Genomic DNA, 21,323 nt, shown 5'->3' on the forward strand with positions numbered 1-21,323 from the left:
AAGAGGAAAACATCTCTGGTACTGGAGCCACATCAGGTTTTGGGTTTATGGTTTCGTTTTTGTTTTCATTTATGAACTTGGGCCCCTGTACTAGGTCAAATTGTGGGTTACCGAAAGACATGTCCACATCCTAAACACCAGAGGCTATGAATGTAGCCTTATTGGTAACAGGGTTTTAGAAGACATAATTAGGTGAAGGATCTCAAGATGAGATCACCCTGGATTATCTGCTTGGGCCCTAAATCTAATGGCAAATGTCCTTATAAGAAACAGAAGACACAGACACAGAGGTGACAGCCATGTGAAGGTGCAGACCATGCAGCCAGAATCCAAGGGAGGCCTGGAGCCACCAGAAGCAGGAGGAGACAAGGGATAGAATTTTTCCCTAGAGCATCTGGAGGAACAAATGGTCTCTCTCTGTCACCCAGGCTGGAATGCAGTGGCACTATCTTGGCTCACTGCAGCCTCGACTTCCTGGGATGAATGGATCCCCCAACCTCAGCCTCCCAAGTAGCTGGGACTACAGGCATGAGACACCATGCCTGGCTGATTTTTGTATTTTTTGTTGAGACAGGGTTTCACCATCTTGCACAAGCAGTTCTCGAACTCCTGGGCTCAAGCGATCCTCCAGCCTCAGCCTCCCAAAGTGCTGGGAATACAGGCGTGAACCACCATGCCCAGCCCAAGCATGAAGTTTTTAAGAAACTATAACTACAACAGCACTCTTTATCTTATTTATACTTTTTAAGGAAACTATAAACTTTTTATACTTTTTATTGAAGTATATACTTTTCACATATATTCAAATATGCACATATCATTAGGATAGAGCTTGATACATTTTCACAACTGAACACAATCATGTAACCAGCACCCAGATCCAAAACGGAACATTACCAGCACCTCAGAAACTTCCATGTACTCTTTTCTCGGTCACTACTCTCCCACAAGAAAAACCATAATGCTGATGTCTAATCACATAGGTTAACTTTGCATATCTTCAAACTTTATATAAAGGTAATCATACAGTATATATTCTTTTATGTGTGTCTTCTTTTGTGCCACATAGTGTTGGTCAGATTTATCCATAATGTTGCATGTAATGAACTGCTCAGCATCATTGTTGTATAGTATTTGATTTGGGGAATATCTCATAGTAGATCCATTCATTCTACTAATAATGGACATTTGGGTTGTCAATTTTTAGCTATTACAAATAGTGCTGCTATAAAAATTCTAGTTTATAGCTTTTGGCAAACATACATATAGAATAATCTGGGGAAAATTGATATCTCTACAGTACTAAATCTTCCAAAATATGAACAACGTACATTTATTTAAGTCTTTTTAAAATTTCTCTCAATATTGTTTTGTAGTCTTTGTTGAACACTGGCACATTTTTCATTAGATTTATTCCTTAGTGTTTTATATTTTTGATGCTATTATAAATTGCACTGGGACTCTGTGGGATTTTAAGGAGATGGAACATTTTAGCAGCCTGAGCTTTATTGCCTTTCTAGACAAGAATCCTAAAATTTTCTTTTATTAAAATGATAGGAGGAGAAAGATTATTTAAATATCCCAAACTATTAAAACTGACAAAAGGGAAAACAAATAAGACCAGAGGCTGCAATTAGCCAATTAGAGTGCCAACTACAAATTCCAGTTTTCACTTCCAACAGTATCAAATAGGCCCCAAGAAACCTTTTCCCAGAAAAGGATCCAAAAGAAATAAGTTGAAATTCCATGGTTTGTGTAAAAGAAATAAACTCTTTTTCATTGATCTCTGGCCAGAGAGTGAGTACTTTTTCTAATTTCAAAAATTTGAAAGGGAGACAAAATCCAATATTTATACATACATATTATGTGTCAAGTGCATTTTACACAATTATCTATCATGACAAACCTACACACTGTTTGCATTTATTCAATTTTCTAGTTGAGGAATCTGAAATCCAAGAGATTAATGCCCCAAATCATACTCTATCAGTGATAGAAATGCAAATTCAGGCCTGACAGATGCCAGCAGCAACCCCGCACCCCCATCTTTAGAAGTAACATGAATTGGTATCTTTTCAACTATTAAAATTAAAGTCATGTTCATTACAGAAATTTTGAAAAATATAGAAAAGTATAAAGAAATGATTTTATAGATATACATTGATTTTCTACTCAGTATCACTTATAATATCCTCACGAGTTTATATACTCTTGAACTTTATCATTCTAACATCTGCATACTTTTTCATCAGTTAATACACTGTAATATTTAAACCAAATACCTTTCATGTTGGACATATAAAACTATTACTATTTTTCATGTAATACATGACTCTGCAATGAACCTTGCATCTGTATCATTGCAACTTTGCACACACCTCTGATTATTTCTTTATGATAAATTCCTCCAAGTATTATCCTGAGTCAAAGGGATAGAAACATGTTAAGACTGTTAATACACATGGTCAAATCCTCCTCTTCCCTTCCCTCCCATCTCCCAGATAAGTCACAGCTTCTTCCTATCCTTAGCAAGAGAGAGGGCCATCTGCTGTGTCTTTGTCTGTGCTGGATATTACCACTTAGAAAAATATTTCCCAATCGGATAGGTCGAAAAAATCATATTTTAATTTACACTTCTTTAAATACCAGTGGTTTTGAGCATCTAGTTATTGGCCATGTGTATTTGTCCATTTGGATGTTGCCGTTTCTCAACAAATGCTCTCTGGATCACTTGCATTAGAATGCTTATGTGCATAGGAAACAGGTCGATTCCTGATTCCCAGTTCAGACTACCTAAAGTGATCCCTGCATGGGGGTTGGAGGGAGGAAATCTGATTTTGTTAGCTCTGCTGGCAATTCGTATGGACTCTAGATTTTGATCATCACTGTCCTCCTCCAGTCGGGCCTCTGCAGATTCCAGACCTAGAAGCAGCAAACAAGTCTACATGTTAGCAGTGGAAGAGACTCGAATTACCCCGAGTTATGGCCGGAATATCCATACGGGTCAGTAGCAACTTCAGTCCTTGCCTCTTCAGAAGAAATAATTCAACTGAGGGGCATAAAGCAGAAAAAGAGACTGAAGCAAGTTCCAGAGCAAGAATGGAAGTCTATTTTAAAAGACGTTAGAACAGGAAAGAAAGGAAAATTCACTTGGAAGAGACCCAGTGGGCACCTGAAGGTCCAAGGGAGAAAAGAGAAAAAAAAAGGGGGGGGGGGGCTTTAATCTTGATCCTACAACTTTATAGGCTCGCCTCTTTCCCACGAAAGGTGTAGGATTCCCGCATGCGCAATGCTTTTCTTGCCCTCTGGAATTGAGCAGGCAGCGTGTTTAGGGAGTTATACGCATGCCCATCTGAGGCATTTTCCTTTTTCCGGTGGCATGTGTTCCCGGAATGTCATACTTCACCATTTTGTCTCTTAACATGCGTGCCCAAAAAGCTGCTTTTCCCTGGGTTCTACATTCAATGAACATTTTTAATGTTAACAGGTGTGGACCATCAGTGGCTTGACTCTCCGTGGCTGCCGAATTATCATTTCTATAGAGGCAATGCGATAATTGCCGAACTATCACTCGACATTTCTAGTGGGTGGGGGAGAGCCCCCTCCTGCCCCACTCATGCCTAACTACCTGTAACATACACAGCCACGGACTTGATCCCTTTATAAGTCAAAATCACTGGTGATCCTCACATGAAGCTTTTGTTTGTCTATATAATTCAAATGTGTTTTCAGGTATTTTTTTTTTTAAAGAGATGGGGTTTCACTCTGTTGCCTAGACTGGAGTGCAGTGGTGTGATCATAGCTCACAGCAGGCTCGAACTCCTAGGCTCAAGCAATCCTCCAGCCTCAACCTCCCGAGTAGCTGGAACTACAGGCAGGCACAACCATGCGCAGCTCAGGTACATTATCTTAATAACTGCAGAGAAATCTCTGAGATGTCATAGTTCAACCCCTCATTTAGCCATGTCAATAAGCTTAAAACACATTTTTTTTTGTGGTATAGTCAAGCCAATGACTAAAGATTCAACATCTCTGCCCAGCAGGATTCTAACTACATAGCAAAAGAAGAGATTTTTTTAAAGAGAATAAAATTTTTATTTTGAAAAGTTTAAGAAATCCTGCAAGAGCTGTGAAACTAGTAGAGTTTCACAAGTAGAGAACCAAGCACAATAAAGCACCATTCAATCCTGGATTTCAAGGAGCCAGATGAAAAGCCTAGTAGGGTGGGGTCCTCAGCCTCTCCTATCTTACTTCCCTTCACTGATTAGGCCCTAGCAAATAGAAACAAAAGGATTGTTTTCCTGAGGACAGCATGTACATGTTTAAAGACATTCAGCTTCTGTAAATGCCTTACAGGGAATTTTAAGGACATAAAAGCTACAATGATATTGTTTGAGAAGCTGCTTTTTTCTTATGCCTTTGCAATTCAAGCAAGCCAAATATAATTCTATTAGCAGTTTTTAAATGTTAAGTGTAAGGATTACCTAATATTTACTACCAGCAGGCCAAAATGACGCAAACAATAGGCCAGAGCTAGCAGGGTGGGCAGGAGGTGGCACGTCATATTCATGTGAGGAAACCTCTTCCCAAGGAAATAGGTAGAAGCATCCCTGTTACCGACTGAATCATGCTGCCCTCCAAATTCATGTTGAAGTCCTAACATCCAATGTGACTGCATGTGGAAATAGGGCCTTATATTAGTCTGAGTGCTCCAGAGAAACAGAACCAATAGGATGTATATATAATATGTAGAAAGAGGTTTATTATAAGGAGTTGGCTTGTGTGATTATGAAGGTTGGCAAGACATTGATATGCAGAGTGAATCGGCAAGCTGGAGACCAAGGAAGGCAATTTAATTCTAGTCCAAGGCTGAAGGCCTAGAACCAGGATGAACTGATGTTTCAGTATGAGTCTGAAAGCAGGAAAAAAGCTGATGTTTCAATTCCAAGGCATCAAGCAGGAAGAATGCTCTTCTACTTGAGGGAGGGACAGGCTTTTTGTTCTACTTAGGCCTTTAACTCATAGGATGAGGGCCACTGATATCAGAGAGGGCAAGCTGCTTTACTCCATCTACCAATTTAAATGTTAATCTCATCCAAAGTCACCTCACAAATGTACCCAGAATGTTTGACCAAATTTCTGGGTCCAGTCAAGTTGACATACAAAATTAACTATCACAAGAAAAGTAAGGTTCAAACATTACGATCATAAGGGTGGGGCCCTAATTCTATATGACTGGTGTCTATATAAGAAGGGGAGACTGGGACACACAGAGAGACACCAAGGAAGGGCATGCACAGAGGGAAGTCCATTTGAGGACACAGCAAGCAAGTGGCCATCAGCAAGCCAAGGAGAGAGGCTCAGGAGAAACCAAACCTGCCAACACCTTGATCTTGGACTTCCAGCCTCCAGAACTGTGAGAAATAAATTTCTGTTGTTTAAGACACCCAGACTGTGGTATTTTGTTATGACAGCCTGAGCAGACTAACACAGTCCCCTTCCCAGGAAGGAAGAGAAAACAGCTTTCCTGTTGCAAATCATCATATATGAAGAACTTATGCCTGCACTGAGCTATGCATTTTTCACCCACTGCTCTCATTTATCCTTATGACACTGTCCAGAGGTGGGTGCGCATATCTTTGTATCAGTTAGGAATAGGTTTGGTTGCACATAATAGAAAATCCAAGCTACCATGGCTTGACCAAATGAAGGCTTATTTTTCTCATATTCAATAACTACAGAAGAAAGCAGACCAGGGCTATGAGGCAGCTCAGGGAGATGATGTGGCAGCTGTCACATCCAGGCTCCATCAAGCTTCTGCTGTTTAGCTATCCTTCATGCATGGCTTTTGTTCTTTGCTTATTTCCTTGTACTAACAAGAATATAACTCCATATCTGGCATTCAGGTAGGAAGAATAGTAAGGATGATGAGCAAAAGGCACAGGACAACTCAGTTTCTCTTTTAAAAAAGGTTTTACAGAAAAGCAGAACTCCTGTTTACAGTTCATTAGATTGCTCTATGTTATGCTGCAAGGGGGGGCTGAGATCTGTCATTTTAGCAGAATAGAACTGAGGGAGAAGGAGAGAATGACTACTGGCAGGCAACAGCAGTGTTTGCCACCTTCCCCTTGCACGGATGAGTATGGATAAATTATACATGTCAGTTGCTATTTAAATCATGACACTTGGGGAAGGGGATGCTATTGATAATAATGCCAGGACAGCAGGCACAAAACAGGACTCTCCTGAACAAAGTGTTTGGATGCACTACAGAGGAGGCCGAGAAAGGATGCTTAACTTGTCCAAGGACACATTGAGGATTCCAACCCTACTAACTCTTACCCCAACACTCATCCTCCTTAACAATTGCACTAGAATGTTATGATTATAAGGATGTAGATGTAGATTATTTGCTTCAGAAACACTAAAGTGCTTGCTAAAAATACTGATTCCTTGACCCTACCCCAGGGCTTTGGATTCAGTGAGTCTAGAGTAGAGGCCCGGAGGTCTGCTTCCTAAATAAACATGCCAGGGTAAGTCTGATGCAGTGAGCTGCATTCCGGGAAACATTGTTTTAAGACAACCAAACCTGTATAAATAAGCACAAATCCTCCACCATGCTTTCACTAGGAGAAAAATGACATTTATTCAACTTCTGTGACTCAGCAGTTTAAAAGGACAATGGGACATTTCTTGCAGGACCTGGTCCTCCTGATAAGGACTAGCCATTACCTAGGGAATCTGGGAACCAGGCAAACATTCATCTCATTGGGGAGAGCAAAGGTGAACAGACCCATGGGAGGCTGCGGGAGGGTCATAGCAGCCCAATGGCCAGAGGTGTGTCTCTCCTCACTCCTGCCCAGGTAACTTTTATATGCTGAGCCTATCAACTCCCCTGGGGTGAGGTGGGGTGGGTTGCAGGAAACCAGCTCTATTCTGATAACCACAGAACAAAAGGGTTGGTAGCCTCTAGAAAAAATACCCAAATAAGACAGAGCAAGTATAGACTTTTCACTCATACAACGAACAGTTTTTTAACACCTACTCTGTGTCAGATTCCTAGTGCTAGGGATATGTTGATGAGAAAATACACAAAATACGTGCCTTCGCAGAGCTTTCAGTTGAGCAATGAGGGAAATCCTACACCAAAGAACCTCACTGGTGAATGCATACTTAACACATTGCCTCTGTTGATCTGAAGGAAGCCTCCAGAGCTACAAGCCCTTACAGAGTGCCAAAACCACCTCTCCATCTCTTCCAGTTAATTCTTCAGTCTCAGTTCATAACATGCTCCCTTAGTCCAGGTCAAACTCCCTGATATTGGCTGATACTCAAATTTCTGTTAAATGCACATATGAAGAAATAAATGCTCTAAGTCCATTTATTACAAAGTTTTCTCAATTTTTACACATATTGATTGCAAGGTATACAAACAATTTGATAACACTTTCTCTTTTTTTTGGTTGGGAGTGGGAAGGGAGGAGTTAGGAAAAAAACACACACACACACATTAAAATTTCCAGACCATACGATGCATCTAAATTTCATGAGTTTGAAAATACAGAGAGAAATGAGTTTTAGAAACAAGGAAAAGCAGTACTTAGTGACTTGCAACCATCATCTGCTCATCACCTGGGCAGGGGCAGGGGAGTATACATTAGTACATCAGTATTTTCTGCATCTGCCTGTAGGAACCTCAAGGCCAGGGAAGGTCAGACTTGGTGTAATGCAAGGGTTCATATGGCAGTTTGTATTTTCCAAAGCCTCTCATTCCTCATGTTCTTCTTATAAGGTGGCATCAACACTCCTCCTACCAAGAAGTAAAGTCTGTTCCCTCCTCTTGCATCTAGAGGATGAGTGCATGCCGGGGGTGCGGGAGGTGGGGTAGTGGGAGAGGAGGGAATGGGTAACTTCTCCAAACTATAGAATACAGTGGAAAGGGCCAGGTGCGGTGACTCATGCCTGTAATCCCAACATCTTGGGAGGCTAAGGCAGGTGGATCATTTGAGGCCAGGAGTTTGAGACCAGCCTGGCCAATATGGCGAAAACCTATCTCTACTAAAAATACAAAAAATTAGCAAAGCATGGTGGCACATGCCTGTTTGGAAGGCTGATGCACAAGAATCACTTGAACCTGGAAGGCGGAGGTTGCAGTGAGCAGAGATTGTGCCACTGATGGAGTGAGACTCTGTCTCAAAAAAAAAAAAAAAAAAAAAAGAATGCAATGGAAGAGACACAATGCAACTTCCCAGGCTACGTTACCTCTCTGCCTAGCTCTGGCTGTCTCCTAGGATGCTCATCCTCAGTACAGTTCAGCTGCCATGTTGGCAGGAAGCACAGGCCACATGAAGAGGTCATATGTAGGTGTTCCAGCTGACAGCATCAGAGAATGTCTCAACTGACAGCCGGCATCAACCACCAGACAAGTCCCTGAGTCAGAGCCTTCAGATAATTCCAGCCACTAGATTTCAGTGGCTGGAATTATCTTCAGCCACTGAAGATAATTCAGTCACCCCAGCTGACATTAAGTGATGCAGGCAACCTGTCCCTACAGAGCCCTGAGCAATTTGTAGATCTGTGAGCAAAACATAGGTCATCATTAGTTCAAATCACTAAGTTTAGGGGGCAGTTTGTGATACAGCCATAGTAACTGAAACAGCATGCAAATGCTTACTGCTTCTTTCTTAGCAATAACCACAGAAACATGGTAACAGTTAAGTTTTATGTCCTGCTTTAGAGTTTGCTTCTTGCACTCTTTCATTTCACCAATAAATTATTGTAATCACCTCCACCTCACATGCAAGAAAATTGAGACACAGAAAGACAAAGCAATTTGTCCACAGTCATACCTTCTTCTCCATGGGAACAAGACAAGGGTTACCGGAGTTATTAAGAGGAATTAAAGGAGTGCAGTTTTGAATGCCGGCTCTTCCCCGTTTCTTGCTGCCTGCCTTCGGATAAGTCATTAACCTCTCTGAGTCTCGGTTCTCTCATTGTGAAATGCAGATGAAAATAGTACCACTTTGTGGAATTTTTATTCAATGTTTAACTACACAAGCAGCACTGAAGACAAAGTCAGGCCCAGAGTCAGGCGCTCTTTTGTCTTGTGTCTCCAGCAGCACGGGGCCTTTGACAGGGCTGGCACTCCATGAACATTTCCTGGATGAATGAACAAATGAATTGAACTCCCATCCACTAGGCCCCAAAATGCCTCCTCCTGTTATATCAGGATGCCACACTTAGGGCTTATAACTAGCAGGGTTGATTTTCCTTGGCAAATACTAAATGGAAACTGTGTACTGGGTTGGCACAGAATGGAAAAATTGGAATTTTTTCCTACGCTTCTATGAATCTCCCATTCATAGAAGCATTCAAAAATTCAGAATTTAAACACACAGCCACACACACATTGTAGCATCACACAGTGCTCATAAATCAGGGCTGGGATGCGCACTCCTTAAGGACTATTGCCCCAACCCTGGCTGAGCTCTTGCCCTCTGAGCCACAACAGTGGCTTACAGGTCTCTTCGCCCTGCACCCAACCCCAACACAAACCCACCACTTCCCCAGCTCGGCAGAGTGGCACTAGCTATTCTCTGCTGAAAACAAGGAACAGAAATCAATTTCGTTCTAGCCATACTGAGTGCAGCAAGCAGGATAAGGCTGAACTCTGTCAAACCAACAATGTAGAAAACCCGATTTAATACTAAGATGGACCCAATTCTCTGACAGGCGTGTTAAATGTGATTAAAGCTGCACAGCATTCCCTGCATACCCATCTGCCATGTTGAGGAGCCCACAGCTGTTCTGATTTCTGATGTACAGTTTCTTGTCAGTTGTTTCAAATGTATCTCATCTTGCCTGTAATCTGGGCTCTCCCTCCCTTGCCCCTCTTCAGGCCAGCCTTGGCCAGCTTCTCTAAGCAGTTGCTGATATCCACATGCCTTTGGCCGCGGGTCTGTAGAGGCATGTGTGAGCTCTGGCTGGTGCAAAATGTGTGATCACAGAGAAAGCTTAGCGCTTTAGCGGCTGGAATGAGTCTCTTGGATCCTAAGCTGTTGTGACGCCACCACCTGCAGCTCCTGCAGGTTTTTGCTGCAGGGTGAGGGGAAAGAGCAGGGACAAATCGTTTTTGATGCTACAGAGAGCTGTGCCTGAGATGCCTACATGCTACCATGGAAATACAATCTGAAAGCTGTGGAAGTCCAGTGCAGGCATACTTTGGGGTTGTGGAGAAAGGCAGAGGCAGAAATGGAAGTGGGGTTCTTCTGGGCAAGGGATGGAGTCCTCAGAGGCCATTGCAACCTTGTGCCCAGGAGGCACAGATAAGGTAGAGGACAGCTGATTTCAAGAGGACTGGACCACCTAGCATTGACCCATATGGCATCTTCATGAGAATTTTTTAAAAGTTGGAGCTATGGCCCTGCACCAAGGTACACAACCTGGCAAGCAGGGCATAGGCTGGATTTCAGCCCCACTCACCCTCTTGACCAGGGGTCCTTGTGCAATAAACAACATGTACAACCACACATATCAACAATGAACAGAGGAAGAGCTCCAAGGAGCATACGGAAGTCATGATGAGAAGTAGGGGGACAAAATAAGTGAAAAATGCCTGCCCTTAAGCAACTGAGAGCAAGCAAGGCTAGCAATATGGACGTGGAAAACACAGGAGAGCATAAGAGAAGGGCCAGGAGAGAAATAGAAAAACAGAGTGCCAAGGGATTCAAAGAGGAGAACATGCTTCTGGTTGGGGAAATCAAGAAAGGCTTGCAGAGAGAGATGGCATTTGAAATGAAAAGGAGAAAGGTACACAAAGACACTTCAAACAGAGAGGCATGAACAAAGAAATGGCAGAGGGGAGATCAGGGCCATGTAATGGGACAGTCCATAGTCCAATTTGTCTGGAGCTTTAAGTGGATGCAAGAGATGACATCTCACATCTCCCTCGGGCTCCACACAAGAAGGATGCTATGGCAGACACCTTATAAATGGAGAATGAGGCTCTGACCCTGACTCCCTCTCCATGTGTCTCTGGCCAGCCCATCTTCACCCTTATGATGACCCCCCACCACTTGTGCATTTGCTCATCGTGGCCTCCACTGTGCCATCACCTTCTTGTTTTGTTTCCTGGACGCTGGAGCACTAAAATAATTTGGGGATATATTATAGAGGATCTTGAATGACAACTATGGAGGATCTTGAACGTAACAAAGATGTGGACTTTGTAGCAGATCTAGGGATCAAGAAGAGCCACTGGCCATTTTTGACATGATTCATGGTCAAAGCAACATGATCAGAATGCACCTAGGAAAATCACCCTGTGGTGGAAGGACTGGAGAGGAACAAGGCAGGATGCTATGCTCTGGGTGGGGAAAATGGAGGGAGTGAAGGGGGCAGGAAGGAAAAGCAGGGCCATTTCAAAAGCCAATATGGAGACTAGAAAGGGTGTCAGGTGGAAAATTGGGTCAAATCATTGAATTGTCAGAATTAAGTCCTGCCAGCCTGCACTGGACTCCTGGATGCAAAGGCTGGGGTGTTGTGTTTCTACACACCCAACCGCAACACAGCAGAGGGTACTGACACGATGCTGGAGCCAGCCAATCAAAAAACGACTTGCTTGTGCAGGGGGAAACTGACTGCAGTACCTCTGTCTCCCAGATAGTTGGTGTCTTCCTGGGGAATGATACAATGGGAATAACAGAAATGAAGTCATCAGACTGGAATGTTATTACAGAATCAATCACTTTCATGGAAATCTTTATTCCACTAATAGTCTCGTTTTAAGTATAAGATTTTATCTGTTTAGAAAGAAATGTAGGAGAGGGAAAAAAGAAGGTGAAGAGAAGAGTAGGGAGAAAAGATGAGGTAAGTCACATATACGCCTTCTTAAGTCTCCAATTCACTTGAGAACTTAAAGTCATAATAAATAGTTCAGAAACACAAACATACTGATTCTCCCTTAGCTATCTGTATTGACGTGCTGGGGCTGCTGTAACAAAGTACCACAAACTGGGTGGCTTCAGCAACAGAAATTCGTTGTCTTACGGTTCTGTTTTTTGTTTCGTTTTGTTTTTGGGATAGTATCTCGTTCTGTCACTCAGGTTGGAGTGCAATGGCACAAACAGCTCACTGCAACCTTGACCTCCTGGGCTCAAGTGATCCTTTCACTTCACTGGGCCACAGGCATGCACCACCAAGCCCAGGTAATTCCTTTATTTTTTGTAGAGATGGGGTCTCCCCACCTTGCCCAGGCTAGTCTCAAACTCCTGGGCTCAAGCAATCCTCCTGCCTTGGCCTCCCAAATCCCAAAGGGATTATAGGCATAGGCCACCACACCTGGCCCTGTCTCACAGTTATGGAGGCTGGAAGTTCAAAATCAAGGGATCAGCAGGGCCAGGCCTTCTCAGAAACCTGTAAGGGAAACCTTCCTTGCCTCTTCCCAGCTTCTGGTGGTTTGCTGGCAATCTTTGGCGTTCCTTGGCTTGTCACTGCATAACATCAATCTCTGCCTTGATCTTCACATGGCATTTCCCCTGTGTGTCTCTCCTGACTCTTCTTATAAGGACATTAGTCATATTGGATTAGGGACCAGTCCTACTCTTGTATAAACTCTTCTTAAATAATTACATCGACACCAACTCTATTTGCAAATAATATCAAGTTCTGAGACACTAGGGATTAGGACTTCAACATATCTTTTTAAGGGGACACAACTCAACACCTAACACTCCCACATTTCCCTGTTCCTTCTCCCAGAAAGGTAGGGTTGGCTCCCAAAGAGGGCCTCATCTAAGAGATTCCTTCCCTGACCTCTCTCATCTCTTCACACCTAGGTTTCCACTCTAGGAATTTCTCAGGGAGGCAGAGTGGATTTGGTGTCATTGTAGGGAACCCCTATGACTGGTCCTTGGGGTCAAATCCTAACTGCAAGATTGGCTGGCTGTGGCCAAAAAAGCCCAGGGGCTCATTTGGATCCTCCCCTACCTTGAGGTATTCCTAAGGAAGCACTGTTATTACCACCCTCACTCTGGTCAAAGGGGATGGCAGAGCCTTCTTGGCCTTCTGGCTCAAGTATGCACATACCCTTCACTGGGCGGGGTTTCTGCACAAATACACAAGTATTATCTTTGCTCATCTCCTATGATCTATGACACTCACTATGAAACTCCAGAGGTTGTCAAGAATACCATCCCTTCCCCAACCCTTCTATTTTCTGTTGTCAATTTGCTTTCTACAAGGGGTCCTCCTAGAGATATTTGAAGACATTTATTTAGTACAATGTCCACTCCCACCCCCTTAGTCCTTTCTTCAGCAGAGATCAGTCCATTTAACTTCACATAGTAAGCCAACCAAGTCCTCAGGCTCCACACAAGAAGGATGCTATGGCAGACACCCTGAGCCTGGACAATGAGGCCCTGACTCCCATTCCGTGTATCTCTGGCCAGCCCATCTTTACCCTGACAAGGACCCCCACTGCTTGTACATTTGCTCATCATGACCTCCACTGCGCCATCTTTTCTCCTAGACCATCATCTTCTTGTTTTGTTTCCTGGACTTTGAAGCACCAGCTTCCCTCCTGGAATGGCACATCAGCAGCCTGCTACCCCAGGCACAGCCACACCCTGTAGTGCAGTACAGATCCCATATCTGTAGGCTGCACCCTGCTGGCCTAGTCTCCCATGGACCCTCTTTCCTGAATGCAGAGAAGCCATGAGAATGAGTCAGGCACAACCCAACCCTGCCACATTTCTCCACGTGACTGCTCATCACGGTGACAATGGTAATATTGGAATACCTCCCGCCCTAGGAAGGAATTATTTCAAAGGGGCTGATTGTTGCTTCCCAACTCCCCATGAGGCAAGCTCGTTAGCTTGCTCCACTCAACTAACCAGCCTGGGCAGAGCTGCTGCTGCATTTTAGGAAACGTGGCATTCTTTCTTGTCTCAGAAATAATTCAAACTCTTCCCTCAAAGCCCCAGTTCTTCAGTTCTGCTGACTCAATGCTTTCTTAAGATACATGTTGAAAATGACAACTCTGTATTAGAGAAAAACTTGAGTATAGGCCCTTCAGTTCTTTTAAAGACATCAGAAATCACTTAGTGATTTCCTTAAAGAAGAAACCAGTACTAATTGAAAATGAAGTTGGTTTAATTCAATAAATATTTGCTGGCAAATATGATATTTCAGGCACAAAAGACAAAAGAGAAATAAGGCACCATCCTCAACCTCACAAGTGCACGTTGGTGACAGAAGCACAGTACAAATGGCCACCCAACATTGGTATAACATCAAAGGTCATGTTCCTACAAGCCTGAGCTCTTCCTTTCCCAAACCTCAGGTCACATTTGTACCACTCTACTCAGATACTGGCAAAACTCAAATTGTCATTTACTAAGCACACCCATTTTAGATCAGGTATAAATAAATAAATAAATAATAAGATAAAACCACAAAACATATCTGTATCTGTGCATATGTGTATATATGTATATATATATATATATACACACACACATACACACACACACACACATACACAGTGTGTATTGCAACCTCAAGAGATACAGTCACAAATGCCACAATCCAGAATGTCAAAATCCCTAAAGATCAAAATCCCTAAAGTCTAAAATTCCTAACATCTAAAATCCCTAATCTCTAAAATCCCCAAAATCACAATCCTGAAAGATTAAAATACCAAATGTTGAAATCTTGAAAGCAGAATCCTAGGGGAGAGATTAGTATATTTTCAGTTGTACACAGAGCTGCATCATATTAGTTTCATCATCTTAGGCAAACTATTACCTTGTTAGTGTCTTTGTTTAGAAATTAAGTATAGTTTAAGGGTGCCAAGTGGACAAGGAGTGGATTTGTGGACTTAATTTTAAGTACTAACTTGACAGAATTAAGGAATACCTAGAAACCTGGTAAATCATTATTCTGGGTGTGTCTGTGAGGGTGTTTCCAGAGATTAGTGTGTGAGTGTGAATGAACTAGGCAGGAAGATGTGCCCTCAGTGTTGGCAGGCACTGTCTAATCAGCCAAAGGCCCTGAACAAACAGATACAGAAGGTGAACTGGTCTTCCACTGAAGCTGAGAGAAATATTTCTTCTGCTGCTTTGGACATCAGAAATTCAGGCTCTGAGCTCTGGGACTTACACCAGTGGCACTCTGGGTCCTGAGGCTTTTGACCTTGGACAGAGAGTTACACCATCTGCTTTCTAGGTTCTAAGGCTTTTGAACTTGCACAGAGCCACACTGCCAGCATCCCAGGGTCTCCAGCTTACAGGTTGCCTATCATGGAACTTCTCAGCCTCCATAACTGCGTGAGACAATTCCCCAGTAAATCCCTTCTTATATATCTAAATCTATATCCTTTTGGTTCTATCTCTCTGGAGAACCCTGACTAATATAAATTTTGTATTGGGGAAATCAGATATTGTTCTTTCTTACTGCATTCCTTACAACATAATGGAAGAGATCTGTGAAAGTTGTTCCCTCTAATTTAATTGTGTGAGGCTACTTAATGGTGAAAGATAAAAGTTTAAAACTAATTATTACTGGTGCTGCAAAAGCAGAAAATCACCTAATTGCAATAGCCAAGCAATATCCAGACTCTCAGATGGACGGCATATACTTACGAAATGTATAGACCACAACTATTCTCCAAATAAAAGTGCAGCGAGTGTTTCCAAACTCAAAGATGTGAAAACAAATGAAAAACACAAGAAATCTCCCCTGCCAAATTATTCTATTGTATACAACTTCTGCCCCTTCACACATAGTGCCAATTGGCTATGCTATGAGTTTTATCTTTGCATCATTTCTAGTACTGGTGATATAAATTGCACAAAGACTTTTAGAGAGCTCTAATTCATTTTAGACATTTTTTATAAAAAATGGACACCAAGAAAGTGCTTTATTCACAATGTTGACTTTGTGTGTAAGCACTATGCATGTATGTAAAAAATGTTGAAACTTCCTCAGTAAATGAAGATGTAAAGAATTTATCTTTCACAATGCAGATGTACAAAAAGGACCTCTCTTTGCACATCTGCATTTGTGAAAGATATGATTTCTTGAAGTCCCAATTCTTCGGGTGACTGCATATGCAGTGGTGACCCACTGTGGTTTTTGTTTGCTCTCGTCAAAAGATTGAGGTTGCCCATCATGGTATTTCAGATGACCACAGTTATAAAGCTGGGTGTACAGAATTGCCAATCATAGTGGTATGCATTTATAAATTTCACTTTCTGACCTATTTCTTCATGTATACAGTTCATAACTGTTATGCTCTCATGACTGTTGTTAGTACACCTGACTGTTTATGCTTGCAAAAATATGCACGTTATTATTAACTAGTCTGTTCTGTAAAGCAGTCTATGAAGTATGCTGTCATTCTTTTATGCTTCTCAAATAAATCCCCCTTTTAAAATGTAAATACATTTATTTTAAAGAATTTTTATTTTTTCCAGAATTATATTTTGGGGATTTTGGACTAGGAATTTTGATCTTTTGGGGTTTCAACATTCAGGATTATGGTGTTTGGAATTGTGTCCTTTGGTATTATGACCTAAACCCACCAACAAGTGGGAGAGCAAGGATTCAAACCCAGGTCTGTCCCATTCCAAAGAACATCCTCATGACCAATGTGCCAGTCAGACTGTCCAGGTGCTACTGTGCTCCAGGAAAACCTGAAGGGAAGGTTACAGATTGAGCCTCAAAATCCAGGTTAGGACCCAAACCTGGATCAGCATCATCCATTTTACACATTAACCCTGATGAAGGAGAGAAACTAGACCTGAAGACCAAAGAAGCAGATTCCAGGGGTCAGGGTGAGGTGGCCAACAGGAAACGAGGCTGCAGTTTGAAGGCCAAGGGGATGGAAACCAGGGGAAGGTGGGATGGGAGGAAGGAATATAAACTGGCCCTGAAGAAGGGTTTGGCACGTGGACTGTAAATGAGGAAAGGGTCTCACTCTGATTAGTCACTGGCCAGATGGGTGGACCCACCTGCCTCAGGGACAGTGACAAGTCTGGGACAGACCCATGGCAATGGCAGCCCCCACCTAGGCAGCTGCCAGAAATCCTGTGCAGAGTCCAGCACTGCTGACTCTGTCGTGTGACAGCTCTCAGATGCAACACGGGTGGATCCGTGGGCGCTTCCTTGAGGAGGCTGAGCACAGTCCAAATAATGCACAGCAGACTTTGATGGCCCTCCCAACCAAACCTTTTTAGGTTACAGACAGTGCTGTGTTTATACTCCCAGGGACGGAACATCCTTTGCTCACAGCCCCACGCTCCACCCCCACCCACCATCTCCCCAACTTTGGCAAATGCCTAGACTCTGAGCAATCTGTGCAGACATGTTGTGAATCACTGTCAGTTCAAGTACACAATATTCCCTGATTTTAACCCTCCTTGGCTGGCTTGCCTTGCATGCTCCCACTCCAAGCACTGGTGGAGGCAAACTCCATAAGGAAGCAGCACCCCCAGGGCTGTATGGAGCAGGCAGCAGGGAGCAACAGCAGGCAGGACAGCCACAGAACTAGGTGACTGATACCCATGAAGCTCAGACAGTGCCAGGCACAGTCCCAGAGACTTTACATTCCCACAGATCTGTGAGCAAGTGATTATTATGTCCATTGTGAGTGTGAGGAAATTGAGGTTCAGAAAGATTAATTTTCTTTTTTATTTTTTTGAGATGGAGTCTTACTCTTGCCACCCAGGCTGGAGTGCAGCAGAGCTATCTCGGCTCACTGTACCTCCACCTTCCAGGTTCAAGCGATTCTCCTGCCTTGGCCTCCCAAGTAGCCAGGATTACAGGCACGCGCCACCATGCCCAGCTAATTTTTATATTTTTAGTAGAGACGGGGTTTCATCACGTTGGCCTGGCTGGTCTTGAACTCCTGACCTCAGGTGATCGGCCTGCCTCGGCCTCCCAAAGTGCTGGGATTACAGGCGTGAGCCACCGCACCCGGTCCAGAAAGACTAATTTTCATACACACTAAAGTGAGAGAGCTTAGATTTAAAACTAGATACGTTCTTCCTAATATACAATGTTCTATCTCAAATCATCATGTTTCCAATGATTTCTATTAGCAGCCATAATAGTAATAGCAGCAGCCTGTGGGCTAAACACTACACTAAGTGCTTTGTATGTACTAAGTCATTTAATCTTTCCAAACAGCACTGAGGAAGATACAACTACTATCTTCATTTTAGAAATGAGGATCTGAGGCAAGAGAGTTGAGCAGCAGGAGAGAGGTAAAAAGGTAGTGAGTTATCCCCTATGCTCTTCATTTCCTTTGCCCTTCTCCTTACTAGAGCCCACTCAGCTAGTTGGGGCAGACTGAGGCTCATATGACTCTAAGTTCTTAATAGCTCATCTACAGACCTGTGCTGAACAGGGAGGATCCTAGAGGACATGCGGCCATGGAGGGTCTGAGAGATGGTTTGGGGGTCGGGATGTATATACAACAGTCCCATAGAGTCATTCCCCAAATAAAGCAGAGAAGGACAATTTGAGGTCTTGAGATAAATAAGCAAGAATGGCTAGATGGGAAAGCTTGGAGGCTTCTGAAGATTCATAGAGAGGGAGCAGGAGCAGGCAGGGCAGGCCCATTAAAGGAATAATAAAAATTAGCCCTTTCGTGCACACAGCCCTGGGTCCCAGGTCACAAAGGATCTTCACAGATGTGAATACCTATTTTATTTAGGGATTCAAAGGTTCCATGTATGAGGCAACATAGCATGTGGGAAAGGAGCTTGGGGACATGAAGAAGGATAGAGCTCTCGAGCAGGTGGGAATACACTAAGGGTGGTCCCAAGAAGGGCTGTTCATGCCAAGAAGTGGATTGACAGGCTCTGGAATGAAGTGAATCCAGGAAGAAGCCAAAGCAGCATCAATCATTTCCTGCCATGCTTGTGATGCCCATCGAACATGATCACTCCCTTGAGGGGGCTCCAATGTCTCATTTGGGAGTGACTCTACCCCAGTTTGTTACTTTGGCTATCATTAGCCAGGAAGGGGAGGTTCCTTATGAATCCATTGGACTGCTGATTCCTGAAGACCCAGAGTGATCCATGAAGGACTCAAGGACAATCCTCTCCCTATTCCTTACCCCCACTACTAGGACCAAATTCAGGTTTAACTTGCCTTCCCTGGTCACCTACTAGGCACTATGCTAAATGCAATTCTAATTTTGGAGACAAAGAAACTCGTTCAGGGAGAAACTTGCTCGATGTCACAGATATCCATAAGTGGCAGAGCCAGGATCCAAACTTGGACCTCTTATTCCAAGTGCATTGCTCTTTTCACTACATCATGCTGCCTTCTAGAAAAATCAGCTAACTCTGTGCTTCTAGACTCTACACAGTATTCAATAACTCTGATGACTTTGAATTCAGGAAATGTCTATCAATTGGACCAGGATCTGCTTTTTAAGCTTATCTTTATTTCTAGTACTTCCTGAGAAAGAGTAAAGTATTCTGAAATATAGAAGATGGATAGGTAGAAAAATGCATATGTAAATACACAGATGATGGTTGGATAGATGGGCAGACAGACTTTTTTAAAATTTTTATGGATACATAGTAGGTATATATGTATTTATGGGGTACATGAAGTGTTTTGATACAGGCATGCCATGTATGGTAATTACATCTTGGAAAATGGGGTATCTATCCCCTTGAGCATTTATCCTTTGTGTTAAAAACAATCCAATTATATCTTTTAGTTATTGGACAGACTTTGAGTTTATTGGACAGACTTTAATTGAGCTCCTCCATCAAACTTTGTGACTTTGAAAAATAGTCACTTAGGTTTTGTTTGTTTGTTTTCTATAAAATGGCCTTGTCAAAGCCCTTCTCATGGAACTATTGTGAGAAACTACCTCTAACAGTGCCTGGTATACCCATAGACTCTTACTATTCTCCCCTTTGTGTTAAAATCATGCTTCAGAATTATGTCCAAATTCTGCAGCAAGGACCCAATTCAAATATTGTTTGAAACATCCAGAATGTCTGTTTTTGACATCAAGTTGGCCCATAGATTTGACAGCCTGGTACCCATAGAGTCCCCACCCAAGAACATTTCCTTCAAAACAAGCTCCTGTTACAGAAACGGCCCTGGTTTTAAATATACTCCCTTCTCTCATAAAAATGCCCCAGCCAGCTAAAGTCATTCTATTTAAAATATTTAATTAATACCTTCACAGAGGTCTGGAACTTATTAAAGACTCTTGGGGACCATGTCTTAGGGGCAATGCTTTGTTCTAAGCAGCTCTATGTGTTACAGATAATATAAAGTGCTGGAATGTGCTTTCTATTAAAAGCAGGGACATTTGCCTGCCTGCTGTTGCAAACCCTTTTGTCATCATCGTGACACATTAAGGCATAATCCAAGTACAACATACACACACAAACAGTGTCAATCCATCCATTGAGTAAAAAGAGTCCCAGGAAAACCACAAGAAAGGTCTGGTGATTAGATGAGGGGATTAAAAACTGGAGGAGCTCTTCCTCTACCTCTTCTCCCACCTGAAGAGGCCACAAAGGCACATTGCTCCCCAAGCAAACAAGAGCAAAAACACAAAGGCACACACTTTGCTCTACCTCCAGTATCTTCTTGGCTTCTCAGCCTTTGGCAGGTGAAAGAAACATTGGTTAAAAGTCCTACCTTCCAAGCAAGTAAACATGCTCTTAGTCCCCCTTTGTCTCACAGGCTGAAGACTGGCAATTGCTTCACATCCATTGTTGTCTGGGGAGTACATTTTTTTTTCTTATTATAAAAATGGTATAGGTTCAATCTTGAAAACCTTGGAAAAAATGTAAAAGAAAATAATTATTTTAACCATAACCCTACCACCTAGACATGACTTTGCTGCATTTCTCCCCTTCTATGTGTATACTTTCACAAAGCTGTCATTACCACACATTTACCCTTTTATTTCCAGCTTCTTTTCCCTTAAAGACATTGGGGGAAATGCTCAGGGTATCATAGTAAGAGATGAAGACTTTAAAAGAAATTAAAGCCTTTTTTTTTTTTCAAGCAGTTTTAGGTTTACAGCAAAATTGAGAGGAAGGTACAGAGATTTCCAATATACTCCATGCACCCCCACATGCAGAGCCTCCTCCATTATCAACATCCCCCACCAGCGTGGTACATTTGTTACAACTGTCAGCCAATGTTGACACATCATAATCACTCAAAGTCCATGGTTTACATTAGGGTTCACTCTTGGTGTTGTACATTCTGTGGGTCAGAACAAATGTATTAATGACAGGTATCCACTATTATAGTATCATTCAGAGTACTTTCAC

The 21,323-nt window shown here is 42.7% G+C and overlaps 1 protein-coding gene across 1 annotated transcript in view, besides 2 other annotated features; it reads right to left on the reverse strand.

The window, feature by feature from the left end:
• The window catches only part of SLC24A2 (solute carrier family 24 member 2), an 800,438-nt gene that overhangs the window by 773,092 nt on the left and 6,023 nt on the right, over positions 1 to 21,323 (reverse strand). The window contains exon 2 of the mRNA XM_017014592.2: positions 20,680 to 20,818. The gene's annotated coding sequence lies outside the window, so the exon portion shown is untranslated. The remainder of the gene's footprint in view (positions 1 to 20,679; positions 20,819 to 21,323) is intronic.
• Positions 6,525 to 6,819: an enhancer, noted in NCBI's record as "tiled region #2682; HepG2 Activating DNase matched - State 5:Enh". NCBI's record gives its function as "activates a minimal TATA promoter and a strong SV40 promoter by Sharpr-MPRA in HepG2 cells {active_cell/tissue: HepG2}" and the evidence as "EXISTENCE:reporter gene assay evidence [ECO:0000049][PMID:27701403]".
• Positions 9,879 to 10,380: an enhancer, noted in NCBI's record as "H3K27ac hESC enhancer chr9:20290423-20290924 (GRCh37/hg19 assembly coordinates)". NCBI's record gives its function as "activates a minimal SCP1, AML or CMV promoter by ChIP-STARR-seq in naive H9 embryonic stem cells {active_cell/tissue: H9 hESC(naive)}" and the evidence as "EXISTENCE:reporter gene assay evidence [ECO:0000049][PMID:30033119]".

Source organism: Homo sapiens, chromosome 9, assembly GCF_000001405.40.
Source record: "Homo sapiens chromosome 9, GRCh38.p14 Primary Assembly".
NCBI lineage: Eukaryota > Metazoa > Chordata > Mammalia > Primates > Hominidae > Homo > Homo sapiens.